Source organism: Homo sapiens, chromosome 5, assembly GCF_000001405.40.
Source record: "Homo sapiens chromosome 5, GRCh38.p14 Primary Assembly".
Taxonomy (NCBI): domain Eukaryota; kingdom Metazoa; phylum Chordata; class Mammalia; order Primates; family Hominidae; genus Homo; species Homo sapiens.
The window spans coordinates 94,041,829-94,059,353 of record NC_000005.10 but is presented as its reverse complement, the minus strand read 5'-3'; the positions used below and the strand labels follow the sequence as shown (position 1 = coordinate 94,059,353).

The following is a 17,525-nucleotide window of genomic DNA, read 5'->3' as shown; positions in this document are numbered from 1 at the left end:
ACCACGCCTGGCCCTAAGATTTTATCTTTATCACCTATTTTCAGAAATGTAATTATGATATACCTTTGTATCATTTTCTCAGTGTTTATTCTGCTTGGATTTGTGGTCTTAAAGTTTTCATCATATTTGGAAAACATTTCATCCACTTTTTAAAAACTATTGTTTTTTTTTTTCCCTCAGTTCTCAGTCTCCCTCCTGTGTTTGTCTGTTTGCATTGCTATGAAGGCATGCTTGAGACTGGGTAATTTAAAAGAAAAGAGGTTTATTTGACTTACAGTTCTGCAGACTGTACCTGAAGCATAGTGCTGATGTCTCCTTCTGGTGAGGGTCTGAGGAAGCTTACAATCATGGCAGATCAAAGGGGTACCAGTATGTTACATGGTGAGAGGGAGGGAGCGAGAGAGAGAAGGAAGAGGTGCCACCTTCTTTTAAGCAAGCAGATCTCAGGGAACTCATAGAGTGAGAAATTATTTCCATGAGTTCTGCCCCCATGACCCAAACACCTCCCACTAGGGCCACCTCCAACATTGGAGGTCACATTTCAACATGAGATTTGGAGGGGACAAACATCCAAACTATGTCACTTCCCAGCATTGATTTCATCTTGGAACACACTTAAAATGTATTAGACAACTTGACATTGTCACACTGGTCAATAATACTTTCTTCATTTTTAAACTATTGTTTTTCTCTGCTTCATTTTGGATAATTCTGCTGTTAGGTCTCAAAGTTCATTCATCTCATCTTCTGTAATTATATTTGCTGTGAATTTTTAACAGTCTATTTTTAATTTTAGATAGAATTTTTTTATGTATAGAAGCTTAAATTTCTTCCAGTTCTCACTTTGGTATATTAATGATTAAACATTTTTTTCAAACATACAGATCACATTGAAGTAGATGTTTTTTCCTTCTAATTCCTTTATCTTTATCATTTCTTGGTTTATTGATTGATTTTCTTCATGTTTATGGATCATGATTTTTACCTTTTTACATGCCTTATCATTTTTCATAGATACCAGACATTGTAAATTATACATTATTGGATGCTGGATTTTCTTCTATTCCTTTAAAGAATAAGTTGGTGCTTAAATTTTGTTTTGCTTTGCTTTTTGGTTTTATTTTAAAGAATGTTGGGCTTTGTTCTGACAGGTATTTATAATATTTGTATCTTTTTTTTCTTGGAGGCTTGTTTTTTTAATCTTTGATATGACAGTTTTAGAGTTTCCTTTCTCTAGGGCTAATAGGCATACATATTTGCAGCTCTGTGTGTACTTAAGGAATTGTTCATCCTGCTGCTTTCCCTGTCCTTGGGTAATTTTTTTTTCTCCTATGTGTATGGATAAATAGTCAAAGACATGAGTGAATCCCTCTGAAATTCTGCCCAGCAGTCTCTCTTTCTAAACAGTTTCCCCTGCGCTCCTTCTCTGCTTCCAAATCCAGCCACCTTGGATTATTCAAATTCTGATCTCTGTATCATCAGCTCAACAGGGTCTTCATTCTTTGTTTGGGTTCTTCCTTCCTGCTGTGCCTTAAACTGTCTCCACACAGTAAGCTAGGGCATCAAGGGGTTTATGTCATTTGTTTCTTTTTCTCTCAATTCTGGCTGCCTGTTGTCCAACTGTTCTTTTACATGTGTCTTCTTGCTTTCCAGTTGTTTAAGGAAAGTGGAAATAATTCGGTTCCTGTTATTCTGTTTTGGCCAGAAGTAGAATTCCAATAGTGTTTTAAATACTCATTTATTTAATACAGTTTTTAAAAATAAAGATGCCAAATGGTACTTTCTTTATTGTGATGAAATAGACATAATGTAAAACTTACCATTTTAACTGTTGTTAAATATAGGGTTCAGTAGCATAAAGTACATTTACATTGTTGTGCAGTCATCACCACCATCCATCTCCTGAACTCTGCACCTTGCAAAACTGAAACCCTATACCCATTAAACAATAACTCCCTATTCCCCTCTCTGCCCAGCCCTCAGCAACCACCGTTCTACTTTCTGTCTCTATAAGTTTGATGACTCTAGGAATCTCAGAAATGTGCAATCATATAATATATAATATTTGTCCTTCTGTGTCAGCTTATTTCACTTTGCATAATATCTTCAAGGTACATCAGTTTTGTGTAAGAATGTCTTTCTTTATTAAGGAAATATTTACTACAAAGAATTGACTCACACAATTATGGAGGCTGAGAAGACCCAAGTTCTGTTATCAGCAAGCTGGAGACCCAGGAGAGCTGACAGTAAAGTTCAAGTCAGAAGAGCTGATGGTGTGAGTTCCAGTCTAAATCTGAAGGCAGAAGACTAATTTCCCAGCTTGAAGATCGGCAGAGAGAGTGAATTCTCCTTTACTCAGCGTTGTTGCTCTGTGCACACTTTCATCCAGTTGGATGAGGCTCATACAAATTGAGGAGGGAATCTGCTTTACTAAGTCTACCCATTCAGATGTTAATCCTATCCAGAAACATCCTCACAGTCACACCCAGAATAATATTTAATCAAATATCTGGTTACCTTATTTCCCAGTCTCATATAAAATTAGCCATCATACCATTCACCCATCTATGTACACTTGGGGTGCTTCTACCTTTTGACTATTGTGAATAATGCTCCTATGAACATTAATGTGCAAGTATATCTGTTTGAGTTCCTGCTTCCTTTTGGGTATGAAATCGTATTTTTATACAGTTGTTTTATATGCTTAGTTGAGGTTTAGAATTCTAGTTGCTGGATCACTTTAACCACTAGAGCCATGCTTTAAAAACAGTCGTGTCATATCTGATGCATATTTAGGTTATATGGATTCAAATCTATTGTATTTTATAGGTTATTGAAGGGATTTTCAATGGAAATCTTTCATTATACTCGATTTTTGCATAATCTGCCTTTGGAACCCAGTCTCAGGGTAAAATGCAACTTTACATTATTGCTTTTCTCTTACAAAGCAGAAAAATAATTTCTGACAGTTCCTTTCTGTATGTCTTCTCAATGCTAATGAAATAAAAAAATCTATATCAGGTTCTCTAGTTGACAGGAAAAATTTGAGGAATGTCTTTTTATTTAGTTGTTCGTTTTATCATTCAAAGGAACATTTTGAGCAAAGCCAAAGCACATTTTTGTATTCATAACTGTTTATTCTATATAATCAGAGAAAAGGAGGGCTAGAGTATTATAAGGTTGATATAGCATATAGAATCAGTATGGTGATTTTTGAAAGAGTGCTGACTTTGGCTTTTAGGGATATGCTTATTTTATTAATCCCATCTACTACTAAGCTGTGATTTTGGACAAGCCATTTTACCTGAGTTCATTTTCTTGTCTGAAAGACAGTGAATATGATAATACTTGTTACTATTTCATAGGATTGTGATGATCAAATGAAGTAATGTATATGAAAGTGCTTTGAAATCTTTAAAGTGATATATAGATGTAAGGCTGCATTTATGGTCTAGGCTAACAGATACAGAAAAGAGCTGTTAGAAGCAAGATCTGCTTATGTATGGACAGTTTCGATGTCTGATTAAAAGGTTTGTAAGTTTTGAATTGTAGATGACTGCGAAGTCAAGGAATCTGATTTTGTCCCAGAGCCTCAATTCATTGGAAGAAGGAAAATGAGAACATTCTGGCTACTGCAAGTCAATTTTTGATATTAAAACCCTTCTGTCTTTATTTTGAAAAGATTTACAAGGTGGTAAGAACTTTACTAATGAATGAAGAATTGTCAACATATGTCCCTTTTTAAACCCAGTATATGTGACATTTTTGTCTTACTAGAGTGTACAAACTTTTTTTTTATATTGGGGATAGTATATTTTTATGTGAGTTGAATTTGATATAAGAGTTAGAAGAGTGCTAAACAGTGGTTCTTTTAATGAAGCATTTGATGGCTTGTTTTTGTGTTCTACAGAGAGAGGCTAGTGACTGAAGGTAGACAAAATACTTTTTTCTCTAGCATATTTTGATGATGTTCTATACAGAAAGATTTGTTATATTTCTGTGAGAGACGGAAATAAAGTGTTATTTCTGAGATATTTCTTTTGTAGGAAAGGGACTGGTTTGCCTCACAACATATTCTAAGAGTGTTTGTCTTCAGGAACTTGAGTTAGAATGAAGAGGCTCAAAACCTAACTAACCTTTATTTATTGATGAGACAAAAATGATTCCACATCTGTTTGGAAATGAGTAAATTTGAAGTTTTAAATTTTTTGTGTCATTTTTAAATGACTCTGTGATGACAGATAGTGAGAACTTTTGCCTCATCCTACAATATGAACCTAAAAGATATTAAATGCTTGTTGACAGACTGATTCTAGGGCTGGTACAGGAAAGATACAAGATGAGGCTGGAGCATCTTTTAGTAGTAGAAAGTAAGGAAGTGCATGAAAAGCAAAAAGGTAAGAGCATGTCAAAGGGACACAGGAGACATCTAAAAAGGAGCTTACAATAGTCATGGCTGGAACAATTTGAGGAGCAAAATGAATGATGTAGTATTGGATTATAACCTAAAGTATACAATAAGTGTCCACAAGTCCATACTGATATAAATAAGTGATTGAGTAAATGTGTAAATGGATGAAGAGAGATGAATATTCCATACAGAATAATTCCAATAATATATTTAGGTGTTCTTTGCTATGGGAGGTAGAGAATAATTCCTCCTCTTTTTCCCTGAGGGTGGGCCAGACATAGTCACCTCGAAAGAATAGATTATGAAGAGGAAAAAAACAGTAACGTTATAGTGGAGAGGCCTGGCATATAGTACCTTAACCAGGTAATGAAGGCTAGCATCACTGGTGATGTCCTGTTGATACCATGTTCCCCTTGCCATGATCTGTTGAGAATGGCAGTTGACCTCAGTGATATTCTTTCCAGAAATCATAACCCTAGTCTAATCATAAGCAGAAACATTAGACGAACCCAAATTGAGGGTCATTCTATAAAATACCTGACACAGTCCTCAAAACTGTCAAGATCATGGAAAAGAAGGGAAGATTGAGAATTATCACAGACCACAGAGACTGGGGAGAGATAATAATTACATGTAATGTGGTGTCCTGAATGGAATCCTGGAAAAGAAAATGAACACTAATGGAACAACTTGTGAAATATGAATAATGCCTGGGCTTTAGTTTGTAGTAATGTACCAATATTGGTGTCTTCATTTTGACAAATGTGACATGATGTTATAAAATGTTACTAATAGGGGAAAGTGAGTAAAGGGTATAACACACTCTTCGTACTGTCTTTCAACTTTTCCATCAATCTAAAATTACTCCAAAACTCAGCGAGGCATGGCGGCTAAGCCTGTAATCCCAGCACTTTGGGAGGCTGAGGTGGGCAGATCACTTGAGTTCGGGAGTTTGAGACCAGCCTGGGCAACATGGTGAAACCCCATCTCTGTGAAAAATACAAAATATAACCTGGCATGGGGGCACCCGCCTGTAGTCCCAGCTACTCGGAAGGCTGAGGTGGGAGGATCACTTGAGCCTGGGAGGCAGAGGTTGGAGAGTGAGCCAAGATTGTGCCACTGCACTCCAGCCTAGGTGACGGAGTGAGACCTCATCTCAAAAAGAAAAAAGAAAAAGAAAAACTCCTTGACAGAGTTTTTTTGGTTGCATGGATTCAAATGATGTGAAGAACAGAAACTATGTGAAATAATTTTTGCTAGTTAGCGTGTTTTATTTTAACAGTTTTCCCCCTAAAAATGGAATAATATGCTATATTAATACTATTTACATTTATAAGTTTCTTTATTCGTAAATGTTTCAGTTATATATAAGATTTGATGACTTTTGAAAAGTCATATTAATGTCTGAAACTTTTAAATGAGGTTAATAAGGTACAAATTAATAGCTGTCTATTTTGAAGGGAAGAAGTTAAATATAATGGTGTATAGAATCTGAGTTGTAGTTGTTTTTAGAATTATGATTTTCAAGGTGCTTATGTTAATACTGTGCTTGATCATAATATAGTATTTTGGGAATTCAATTTAGTAGCATTATCAGTTAAAGCAACACATAAAAATTAATAGAACAAAGAATACTTTAAATTAAATTAAATTAAAATCTTTGTTACAAACTATGAAAATGAATATAAGTAAATTTCATATCATTTCTTTTCTAGATTTATTATCTAGGATAGATTTGGATGAACTAATGAAAAAAGATGAACCGCCTCTTGATTTTCCTGATACCCTGGAAGGATTTGAATATGCTTTTAATGAAAGTAAGTGGGTTATCTATCTATCTATCTATCTATCTATCTATCTATCTATCTATAGTATATGCAAAATTTATTTATCAGTGCTCATAGAATAATAAGACAGATATTATTTGCTACTTTTAAAGGCCAAGTAGAATGTTTTCTGTATTCTTTTGAGAAATAGTGACATCCTTGCATGGTGAAATTCTTCATTCAAGTGAAAGAACCAAGTAACAAGTAACAATTTTCTGTAGTTGTCAAGTTACGTGAACTAATGGTCATGAATTTGATTCAGCTTATGCATTTCAACCTTGAGCGTTCAACTCCCTGGTATCCAATTTGAACTCCTAATTAAATTATAGAGAAAGATGCTACTGTTTCACATGTTATTTAGAATAAAGTGTCTGGCAATAATTATCTGTGACAATGTTTTAAAGTAGTTTTCCATGATTTTTCAGGCAACATCCTTGTTTTAAAATTTATTAATTCAGTTCTGAATACAATAACCTTTACACTTGGGATGTGGAGGAACATACTGTAGATTGCAAGGATGTTTCTGGAACAGAGAATCATGTGTAATACACCCTTACACTTGAAGGGTAATATTATTACAGGGTAGGTGCATCTGAGTTGTAGTTTTCTATTGGTTGTTCTGCATTAACCGAATTGGTGCTTTGTCATCACTGTATTTGTGGATATTCCTTTCCAATATCAGTTATAGATATTAAGAGTTATGGTGACAGTCATCGTGTACTAAGATGTTGAGTTTAAAATAAGAGACTAGAAACTTTGATCTTTTCTCTGATATTAATTTTTATACTTTTTAATAAAAGTTATTTTATACCAGTAGAAGTAGTAATATTTGTTGCGTGGAGGGGAAGAGGAGTTTAAGCAATTGGCCTGTAGTGTATTTCTCTCCTGATTACCCCGGGAATACCCCTGGGGAAAAAGTCATGTCCAGGAGACAAGTGGCTTCGTCTTTTCTCCTTATAAACATGCTGATAATTAACTCATTTAATAAATTAGACTGGCCAGGTGTGGTGGCTCATGTCTGCAATCCCATCACTTTGGGAGGCAGAGGCGGGTGGATCACTTGTGGTCAGGAGTTCAAGACCAGCCTGGACAGCATAGTGAAACCTCATCTCTACTAAAAAATACAAAATTCAGCCAGGCGTGGTGGCATGCGCCTGTGGTCCCAGCTACTGTTGGCTGAGGCATGAGAATCTCTTGAACCTGGGAGGCAGAGGTTGCAGTGAGCTGAGATTGGGCCACTGTACTCTCCAGCCTGGGTGACAGAGCGAGACTCCATCTAAAAATAAATAAATAAATAAAAATAAATGTAGATTAATATTTGCTCTGAGGAGAGTCCTTTTCTATAGAATACTTTGAGCAGGATGACTGGTTTAGATATGAGGAATGTTTCTCTGCAGAATATCACATAAGCAGGACAACTCTTTGGCACGTAAAATGGAAATATTTTATAACCCAAATGCTCACCAGCGTGTGAGGTTACCTGTATGCATCACGTAGAGTCCTCATCTACTTTGGGCCAGAGAGTGCTATCCAATGAGAGGAAAGGACCTGGGGGAAATGACCAGATGCTGCAGACTTCTCCCTGCCTTGCCTATTCTTCTTGATTCCTTGTGCCCTTGAAATTATTAGTAAAGCTTAGTCATTATCCGTAAAGATCTTTGCTTTGTGTGAATGTGATTTGATAGCCTGAACCTGTGTTAGCTCACTGCTTCTCTCTGGTTTTCATTTGACATTCTACCTGTATTTGAAGACCTAGTTGAGAAATCTCACTGAAACCTTCTAAACCTCTTCTAGCCCACAGATAGTTTTCATGTTTCCAAAATCATTCTAGACTTTATTGTCTATATGAATCCCCAGTGGCAGATTTTTAGACTGTTGACATATTTCAATCTCGATTGTTTAGCTTCCTGAAAAGTTGCTTAACTTCTTAATATTTATGCTTTTACTCCTCAGGTAACCTCTAAGCTTCTTGAGGACTGGGCCCATGTTCATGGCAATAGCTAGAGAGGTCTTTATACATATTAGGCCTTAAAATATTGTTAGTTTGCTTTAGATTAGAGACATGAAGGTCAAGAAGAATAACTTTTGAGTAGTTGGGGACCATTAGTAGTTACATAATCTGTATGTTTGCATCATAGTGACATCTGAAGAAAAAAATCTAATGAAAAAGATAAACTGTTCTGAGAAAGTTATTTTAAATTTTTATCAGACATTCTTTGTTGTACTGTTTATATTATTGTCAATATACTTTGAAGTATAGCAATATTGTTTGTTTATCTTCTTAGAGGGACAGTTAAGACACATAAAAACTGGGGAACCATTTGTTTTTAACTACCGGGAAGATTTACACAGATGGAACCAGAAAAGATACGAGGCTCTAGGAGAGGTATGTCACATATACTACTTTAACTTTGTTTTTCCCAATTTTAAATATTCAGAATAAAAGTTTTGAAGATGCAGCAGTTTATGCACTCTTTCTACAAAATGTGATTCCAAAAAGGTTTTTGTTTTTTTTTTTTGTTCCTTTTTAGTGGTTATGTTAGAAGCATATTCTCAGTTTAAAAGTTCCTGTTCAGTGGCTCACGCCTGTAATTACAGCACTCTGGGAGGCCGAGGCAGGTGGATCACGAGGTCAAGAGATCCAGACCAGCCTGGCTAACATGGTGAAACCCTGTCTCCACTAAAAATACAAAAAGTAGCTGGGTGTGGTTGCATGCGCGTGTAGTCCCAGCTACTTGGAAGGCTGAGGCAGGAGAATCGCTTGAACCTGGGAGGCGGAGGTTGCAGTGAGCTGAGGTGGCACCATTGCACTCCAGCCTGGGTGACAGAGCAAGACTCCGTCTCAAAAAAAAAAAAAAAAAAAAGTTTCTGTTTTTAGGTGAGCTGTGGTGGCTCACACCTATAATCCCAACACTTTGGGAGGTCAAGGCAGGAGAATCACTTGAAGCCAGGAGTTTGAGACTAGCCTGGACAATATAGCAAGACCATGTCTCTACAAAAAATAAAAAAATTAGCCAGAAATAGTGGTGTGTGCCTATAGTCCTAGTTACTTGGGAGGCTGAGGTGGCAGGATCACTTGAGCCCAGGAAGTCAAGGCTGCAGGGAGCTGTGATCACACCGTTGCACTCCAGCCTTGCTGACAGAGTTAGACCCTATCTCAAAAAAAAAAGAAAAAACTTCTGTTTTTACACAAACTTATACTTCCCATGACTATAATATTTTGTAGTGAGTCATTACATAAGAAAACAAATTTATGCGAAATTCTAATTTGATTTTTTAAATTTTGTTTTGTTTTTGAGACAGGGTCTCGCTCTGTTACTCAGGCTGGAGTGCAGTGTCACGATCTTGGCTCACTGCAACTTGCACCTGCCTGGTTCAAGCGATTCTCGTGCCTCAGTCTCTGAGTAGCTGGGACTACAGGCGTGCACCACCATGCCCACCTAATTTTTTTTTGTACTTTTAGTAGAGATGGGGTTTCACCTAATTTTTTTTTGTACTTTTAGTAGAGATGGGGTTTCACCTAATTTTTTTTTGTACTTTTAGTAGAGATGGGGTTTCACCTAATTTTTTTTTGTACTTTTAGTAGAGATGGGGTTTCACCATGTTGGCCAGGCTGGTCTTGAACTCCTGACCTCAAGTCATCCGCCTGCCTCGGCCTCCCAGAGTACTGGGATTACAGGTGTGAGCCACTGCGCCGAGCCTAAAAATGTTTTTAAGAGGTTGAATCCCCTACTATGCCAGAATGAATAAGTTTTCTTTCAGGTGTTTATTTGTGTGAAGAATATTGATATTTGGCTAATAAGTTGAATTTAACCTACTTGTCTTTGACTGGATAAAGGAGTAGGCCTTGTGAACATTAGGTACTTCACATGGTACTGCTTGTAGGAACCTTTGAAAATGTCATTTGCCATTTAGGTGAGTAGTTTGGTAAAGTGAAAAGTTTTAGTCATTCTGTGTCATATTATCTTTATTTTTAGTAAAAATGCATGTGGACACATAAGTTTTAGTGTGATAACTAGATAGCTACATTACTTTTCTAAGGAAAAGCTGAAATTTCTGTATTCCTTTTTTGTTTTTAAATAGAGTAGTAAAAATGAACTACTTGGTTAAATTATCACATAAAGAATATATGGTAACATAAGTATAATAGCATGAAGAATATATCATTTCCTGGGAGACAATTCTTTGATCTCCTGCATTTCTGTATATCTCTGAGCAAAGACTTTGACAGCTTTTGCTCTGGATCATCTTTTCAAGGACAACTGTATAGGAAACAGGCTTCGAAGACAGAGGTTGTATCTCCCTCCAAGGCAATGGGCAGATTAGTTTGTTGTCCAGGATAAAAAGATAATGCTCCTCCCTTCCCCCACTGATGGCAAAGGATTGCTAATAGCCCCTTTAGAAGATTGGGTTTCCTAAGTTTGAGGTTCGTCAGCTGTGATACAATCCTGTTGCATGCTCAGCCTCCACCTGGGCCTGTTGACACTGCCTCTTTGGGATTTGAGGAGCAAGAGATTGGACTTCATGAGAACATGAAGCTCATGCTGCCTGCTATACCCTGATTAATTTTTGTTTCTGATCCAGAAGACTAATGTCATCTGACAGCATCCATGACTGTGCAGGCTAACTTGCTAGCTTCTATGCAATGTAAAATCTGACAGTTAAAGAATCTTCACAGTTCTTGTTAGTGTTCTACAGCATTTATAACCTAAATATATTCAATGCCCTGAGTAATTTCTGCTGCACATTAAAAAAAGCTTACCTGGCCAGGCATGGTGGCTCACGCCTGTAATACCAGCACTTTGGGAGGCCAAGGAGGGTGGATCACGAGGTCAGGAGTTCAAGACCAGCCTGACCAACATGGTGAAACCCTGTCTGTACTAAAAATACAAAAATTAGCCAGGTGTGGTGTTGCGCCCCTGTAATCCCAGCTACTCAGGAGGCTGAGGCAGGAGAATCGTTTGAACCCGGGAGATGGAGGTTGCAGTGAACAGAGATCGTGCCACTGCACTCCAACCTGGGTGACACAGTAAGACTCTGTCTCAAAAAAAAAAAAAAAAAAAAAGCTTACCGATTTCCACTTGAATTATATGTTGCAAACTGGTGGTATTTTGATTATAGAATAACCATACTATAATGGCCTTAGAAAAGAGCTTGTGGTTTTTGTGTTTGTTTTTAAATGGGACTGTTTATTTACTATTTTCCATAAGCCATGTACACCACCAGCTCACTTGGACAGGTTGCTAGTCTTCAAATATACCTTGTCCTTTTTGGCATCTGCATCATTTATGCCATCAATATGTATCCTCCAACATCATCTATGTTAAACTCCAGCTATGTGTCTTTTTAGGTAATTCCATGTGTAAATGATTCCTTTTTCCTAGGATCTTATACATAATTCTTTGGATATATGGAGGCACACAGATTTATTTTTGGTGTACCTTAGTCGATAAGAATCAAAATATTTGAGTTTTTACTTTGATGGTTATTTACAGAGAGAGAGCATATTCTGTATTATCTACATTACTGCCTCCTATGCCTGCTTTCACATTTGTGTTCACATTCAATTTGGACCCAAGTGATTACCCAAAATTATAACATTTAATTTTTTTTTTTTTTTTTTTGAGATGGAGTCTCACTCTGTCACCCAGGCGCCAGGCGCCTCAGCTCACCCTCGGCTCACTGCAACCTCCACTTCCTGGGTTCAAGTGATTCTCCTGCCTCAGCCTCCCGAGTAGCTGGGATTACAGGCATGCACCACCACACCTGGCTAATTTTTGTATTTTTAGTAGAGATGGGGTTTCACCATGTTAGCCAGGCTGGTCTCGAACTCCTGACCTCAGGTGATCTGCCCACCTTGGCCTCCCAAAGAGCTGGGATTACAGGCATGAGCCACTGTGCCTGGCCATAGCATTTAACTTTTAATGCAGTGTTTCTATTTAGATCAGTGGACTCCTCAGCTTTAAGTACCAACATTTTTTCTTCCTGAATATTTTGATCAAAAGTAAACATATTTTCCTAACATAAAACTCAGTACAACAAAAAGACCCAGGAATTGGAGAGAGAAAGTCTGGTTATTACAGTATTTGTATCATACCATCATGCTTCTTATGTCATGTTTGGAATACTTGTTTTGATTGCTAATTTCACTGTTGAAGGTTAATTATTAATTGAATTTTATTTCCTACATCTTAGAAGTTAGTTGTATGAGTTCTGGTTATATACCAATAATGACAGAGTTTTCACTATAGTTAATTAGTTATTTGGAATTCATGATAGTGGGACTTAATGCATCTGTGGACCTGTCTTTTCATTGATTCTGTAACCAAAAAGCAGGTTAGTTGTTTGCTGTGTGCAGAATCCGATAAGCATGAGTGAGGTCTGGTACAAAAAAAAAGTGAATTTATCCCGAAGCTAGCTTGAGGAAAGAGGCACAAACAGTCTGCCTTTAAATGTACTACTTTACTCTTGGAGCAGAAAGCAGGCACTTTAAGATAGGGGAGGGAGCAAGCAAGGGCAGGGAGTCCCCTTGCTAGCTGGTGCCTTATCTACTGGGCAGTTAAGTTGGCGCCTTCCTGGGTAGAAGTAAGTTGTAAAAGTGGCCAAGTGGGCATGCTTTCCACATGCCCTCCTGGTGGGTATGAGTTCCAAGGTTATCCCCCCACCCCACTGTTCCCCCTCCTCCCTGTCCCAGAGTGAGAGTTCCATGGGGTATACTTTGGTCTGCAAATCTACTGTCAACTCTTGAGGAGAGATCCCTCTTGGAGCACAGTTAGATGAACTTGCCCTGTAGGGAATGTCTGGTGAGGGGGAGGTAAAGCGTTGTATTTGCATTTCTAAAGGGCTAAATAGGAAGCTGAGGAACAGGGGAAAAGGAGAAAATAAGAGAAAATAATAAAAAAAAATTAAACTCTCTCTCAGAAAAATGGTGATACTTTGCTATAATATTCCATAATTTCCATTTCTGAGTCATGCGTTCAAGTGAAATTTAACCAACTACTATTCTTCATTCACAGTTTATACTTCCATCTTACACTGTTTTCTCCCTTTGAAATGTCCTTCTCTCCTTGTCACTGTATCCCACCTCCATCTGTCTTCCTGTTTTGGCTCAAATGTCTCCTCCTTTAGGAAGCCTTCCCTCATCTCTTCTGTTACAATCTTTCTCTCTCCTGATTTCTTTTCTTCCCATTTTGTTTTTCTACCTATTTTATCTTATATGAAAAATGATTTAAGACAACGTTAAAGATGAATGCCATTTAGGAAGACTCAAATAAGTAGAGTTTAAAAAAGAAAGCAATGTTAGTAAATAAAGGGATGAGTTTACTGTATATCTCTTATGCTACTTATCACTCTGCATTGCATTTTTAAAAAATACATGTTTTTAAGCAATTTTGGGGGAAACTTTCTGTGTCCTGACAATATTTGTTGAATAATAAATAGTGTGATACAAATAGATAAAGTGTTTAGTATAAATTCTGGACCTATGCATTTTAGAGATTTTTTAATGTTCCTAATTTTGTGTATTTTCTTATTGAAGAAAAGAAAATGATAATTTTCCTGTTTCTAAGCTAAACAATTTTAATTATTTCAACTTCCATTTAAGAGCTAGAAGTTTCATACTATTAAAGTGTTTGTGATTTAAAAGTATTTGATAAAAATAGACTATATGTGGCATAATTTATTGGAAGATTTTAACACTTATGTTGTAGGAAAGGGGTCCTGATCGAGACCCCAAGAGAGCGTTCTTGGATGTCACATAAGAAAGAATTCAGGGTGAGTTCATAAAGTAAAGTAAAAGCAAGTTTATTAAGAAAGTAAAAGAAGAAAAGAATGGCTACTCCATAAACACAGCAGCCCTGAGGGCTGCTGGTTGCCCATTTTTATGGTTATTTCTTGATGATATGCTAAACAAGGGGTGGATTATTCACACCTCCCCTTTTAAAACCATATAGGGTAACTTCCTTTTTATTTTGGTTGTTGTTTTTTTTTTTTTTTTTTTGAGATGGAGTCTTGCTCTGTTGCCCAGGCTGGAGTGCAGTGGCATGATCTCAGCTCACTGCACTCCAGCCTCCCAGGTTCAAGCAATTCTCTTACCTCAGTCTCCCAAGTAGCTGGGATTACAGGCAAGCGCCACCATGCCTGGCTAATTTTTGTATTTTTTAGTAGAGATGGGGTTTCCTCATGTTGGCCAATCTGGTCTCCAACTCGTGACCTCAGGTGATCCACCCGCCTTGGTAGGGTAACTTCCTGATGTTGCCATGGCATTGGTAAACTGTCATGGTGCCAGTGGGAGTATAGCTGTGAAGACAACCAGAGGTCACTCTCATGGCCATCTGGTTTTGGTGGGTTTTGGCCAACTTCTTTACTGCAACCTGTTTTATCAGCAAGGTCTTTATGACCTGTATCTTGTGCCGACCTCCTGTTTCATCCTGTGACTTAGAATGTCTTAACCATCTAGGAATGCAGCCCAGTAGGTCTCAGCCTCATTTTACCCAGCTCCTTTTCAAGACGGAGTTGCTCTGGTTCAAACGCCTGTGACATTTCCACCCTCCCTTTTATAGGATAACCCTTAATCCTAAGGGTTGCAGAGGGATGAAGATCTATCTTCTATAACTTCTTCAGGCTGAATAGGGGCGATGATATTCCTGCCTGACTATGAGGATCTCTTTCTGTATGTGCGGTAGAGAGGAGCTCAGTCCGAAAGTGTTGATATGGGTCATTCATCACTTTTGAGTTCCAACAAGAGGTGATATCTGGAATATTAGTAAGTGTTCAATTTAGGAAAACATTGAGTAAGCTTATTCTGCATTCCTACACAAAGAGTACAACAGCAATATATTCCACAACAGTAAAGCAAAATAAGTAAAATTATTCCAAGTAAACTAAGTTAGAATGTGTTCCATGAATTGGGCAACTGTTAGAACCAAGCTGATGTGGGGTGCTAGCCAATTCCAATACATGCCCAGAATTAGGCTACTGATCCAGATTTTTACGTTACCCAACCCTCTTGTTTTTTCTGAGTAGCAGTCAGAGACCACTGGTTCATTCACAGGAATAAGCAGGGTTAGCCAAAATTGCAGAAGCAAACCTAAAAACAACTAATGAGACTAGAAATTAGTAACAAGTGTACCATAATTCTTGAAACATAATTTCTCTCTCAAGTTTTCCATTTTTACTAAAGACAAATCATGGTAAGACCAATTTGCTTTATTATACTTTGCCTGATTATTTGTATAAAGTGCAGCAAGAACAATTATTTTTCACTTAGGCTTTAAAAATTGGCTTTGATGGAACTCTTTTCCATAGGGAATCTCAGATAAGACTTTTTAAAAGCTGAGCCCAGCCATGGATTTGTACCCTCAAATACCTATGAGTTGGGTAAATTATTCTCCTTTTGAGGTCCCAAGATAACTTGGGTCTCCTGGACCTGTTAGAAAGTGACATTTTTTATTTGCCACAGGTCAGAAACCCTGTACAGGGACTGTGTAGGTAAAGTATGAGGCCAGGTCTGCTAGGGGCTTTTATTGGCTCTACAAGTCAAATTTGATTCCTTAAAGGAAAGCATGCTGTTTCAGTCAAAGACTTGGTAAAATAACCAGTTTTTCCAGTTGTGTCCTGTTACAAGAGAAAACAGATTCTTACTGCACTTATGCAAATAACTATATTGCTGTAAGTTAAGAATACTCAGAACTAGTTTCCAAATTTTGGAGAAATCAGGTAGAGAGAAGCAACTATCCTTCAAATTTTGTTCACAGGAGTATACTTTACTCAATTGCTAAAATCTGTAAATAGCTCAAAAGAAAAGTTTTCTTGACTGTAAAACGAAAAGATCAGCAGTGTTTCAAGCAAAGTTAAAAAGATTACTTTAGTTTTCTATTGGTTCAGTCTATTCAGTTAAATCCTTAGTTCTGCTTGATATTCAGGAACACTTCAGGTCTCCATGAGAGTCCTGAAAGTTTTTTTTCCTCTATTCTGATGTCTCAATTTTCAAAGTTATCAGAAACCTGCATTTAAGAACACCTGTTAGAGTTCTATAGTTGATTATAAACCACCTTCTAAAGAGGATTAAAACAAGACAACAATTGCCTGTGGATGACAAAATATTTTAGGGCAGCCACAGTCAAAAACACGATTGACAAAGAAATTTGGTTATCTCTGTGGCATACAGTGATTTTATGTAACAATTATAATTATTACTGATGATATATACTGAAGCATATCAGAATTATAGGCATCTTACACAATTTTGTAATATGTACTAATAACAAGTTTATATAAATATAACCCAAAGAAAGTTAAACACCATTTGACATTTGATTATACTTCCTGTATGACTTTTATACCATATAAGCCAAATTTTACCTTGGAATTAGTGTACTATTTATGTGACACCCAATTCTTAAGAAAGCCTTATAGACATATCTACCCAATTTTAATGCTTGACCATAAGGTAAGATTCACATAAACTTTTTATAACCCATTACAAATTTTTGTTAAAAGCAGATCTTTTGTGGCTGGGCGCAGTGGCTCACGCCTTTAATCCTAGCACTTTGAGAGGCCGAGGTGGGTGGATCATGAGGTCAGGAGATTGAGACCATCCTGGCTAACACGGTGAAAACCCATCTCTACTAAAAATACAAAAAATTAGCCAGGCGTGGTGGCGGGCGCCTGTAATCCCAGCTACTCGGGAGGCTGATGCAGGAGAATGGCATGAGCCCGGGAGGCAGAGCTTGCAGTGAGCTGAGGTCGCGCCTGGGCTACAGAGCGAGACCCCATCTCAAAAAAAAAAAAAAAAAAAAAAAGCTGATCTTTTGTTAAACAGCAGATCAGTGCTCTAAGAAAAACCTGTTGTACTTTTATTCTAATGTTCAGTTTACAGAAAAACTGAATAATACCCCTTTTACTTTAGCCAATATATTCACACACAGAATTTTTTTTACGAGATTAATTTTTTACAAACCTTCCACAACTTGCTTAAACCTTCAGCTTTATTCCATCTAACTTTAAACAGTCCTTTAAACCTTTAATCTAGGCAGGAAATTCACATTCCTATGCCTTCTTGTAATCTTTTATCAGAAACACATTTCACTTTCTTTACATACCTTGCGTGTAGAACTGTTTCTTCTGTAGTCTCAGTTACATGTTACACTGTTAACTCTTAGTAATTTTCATTTTTTTTTTGTGAAAAATCTTGGTAAGTTCAGGATTTTAATTATGTGCTAGATGTGGAGACTAGCCTAAGACACACCAGGCAAAGTGCAGATAGGGGCTGACTCTTTCCGTCATAG

The 17,525-nt window shown here is 37.2% G+C and overlaps 1 protein-coding gene across 35 annotated transcripts in view, besides 2 other annotated features; it reads left to right on the top strand.

Annotated features, from left to right (window-relative positions):
- ARB2A (ARB2 cotranscriptional regulator A) overlaps positions 1-17,525 on the top strand; it is a 493,975-nt gene that overhangs the window by 52,346 nt on the left and 424,104 nt on the right. For 24 of the 35 annotated variants that reach the window (XR_007058646.1, NM_001163418.1, XM_005272110.4 and 21 more), the window contains 2 exons: positions 6,127-6,228; positions 8,523-8,623. Coding sequence is in view for 33 of the 35 variants with exons in the window: in XM_005272105.5 (XP_005272162.1) it covers positions 6,127-6,228; positions 8,523-8,623 (203 nt within the window). In the remaining 2 variants the exon portion in view is untranslated. The other 11 variants (NR_028080.1, XM_017009958.2, XM_047417815.1 and 8 more) reach the window with 7 other exon arrangements.
- Positions 1,226-1,772: an enhancer, noted in NCBI's record as "OCT4-NANOG hESC enhancer chr5:93393287-93393833 (GRCh37/hg19 assembly coordinates)". NCBI's record gives its function as "activates a minimal SCP1, AML or CMV promoter by ChIP-STARR-seq in naive H9 embryonic stem cells {active_cell/tissue: H9 hESC(naive)}" and the evidence as "EXISTENCE:reporter gene assay evidence [ECO:0000049][PMID:30033119]".
- Positions 9,505-9,604: an enhancer, noted in NCBI's record as "active region_22789". NCBI's record gives its function as "activates an Ori minimal core promoter by ATAC-STARR-seq in GM12878 lymphoblastoid cells {active_cell/tissue: GM12878}" and the evidence as "EXISTENCE:reporter gene assay evidence [ECO:0000049][PMID:35858748]".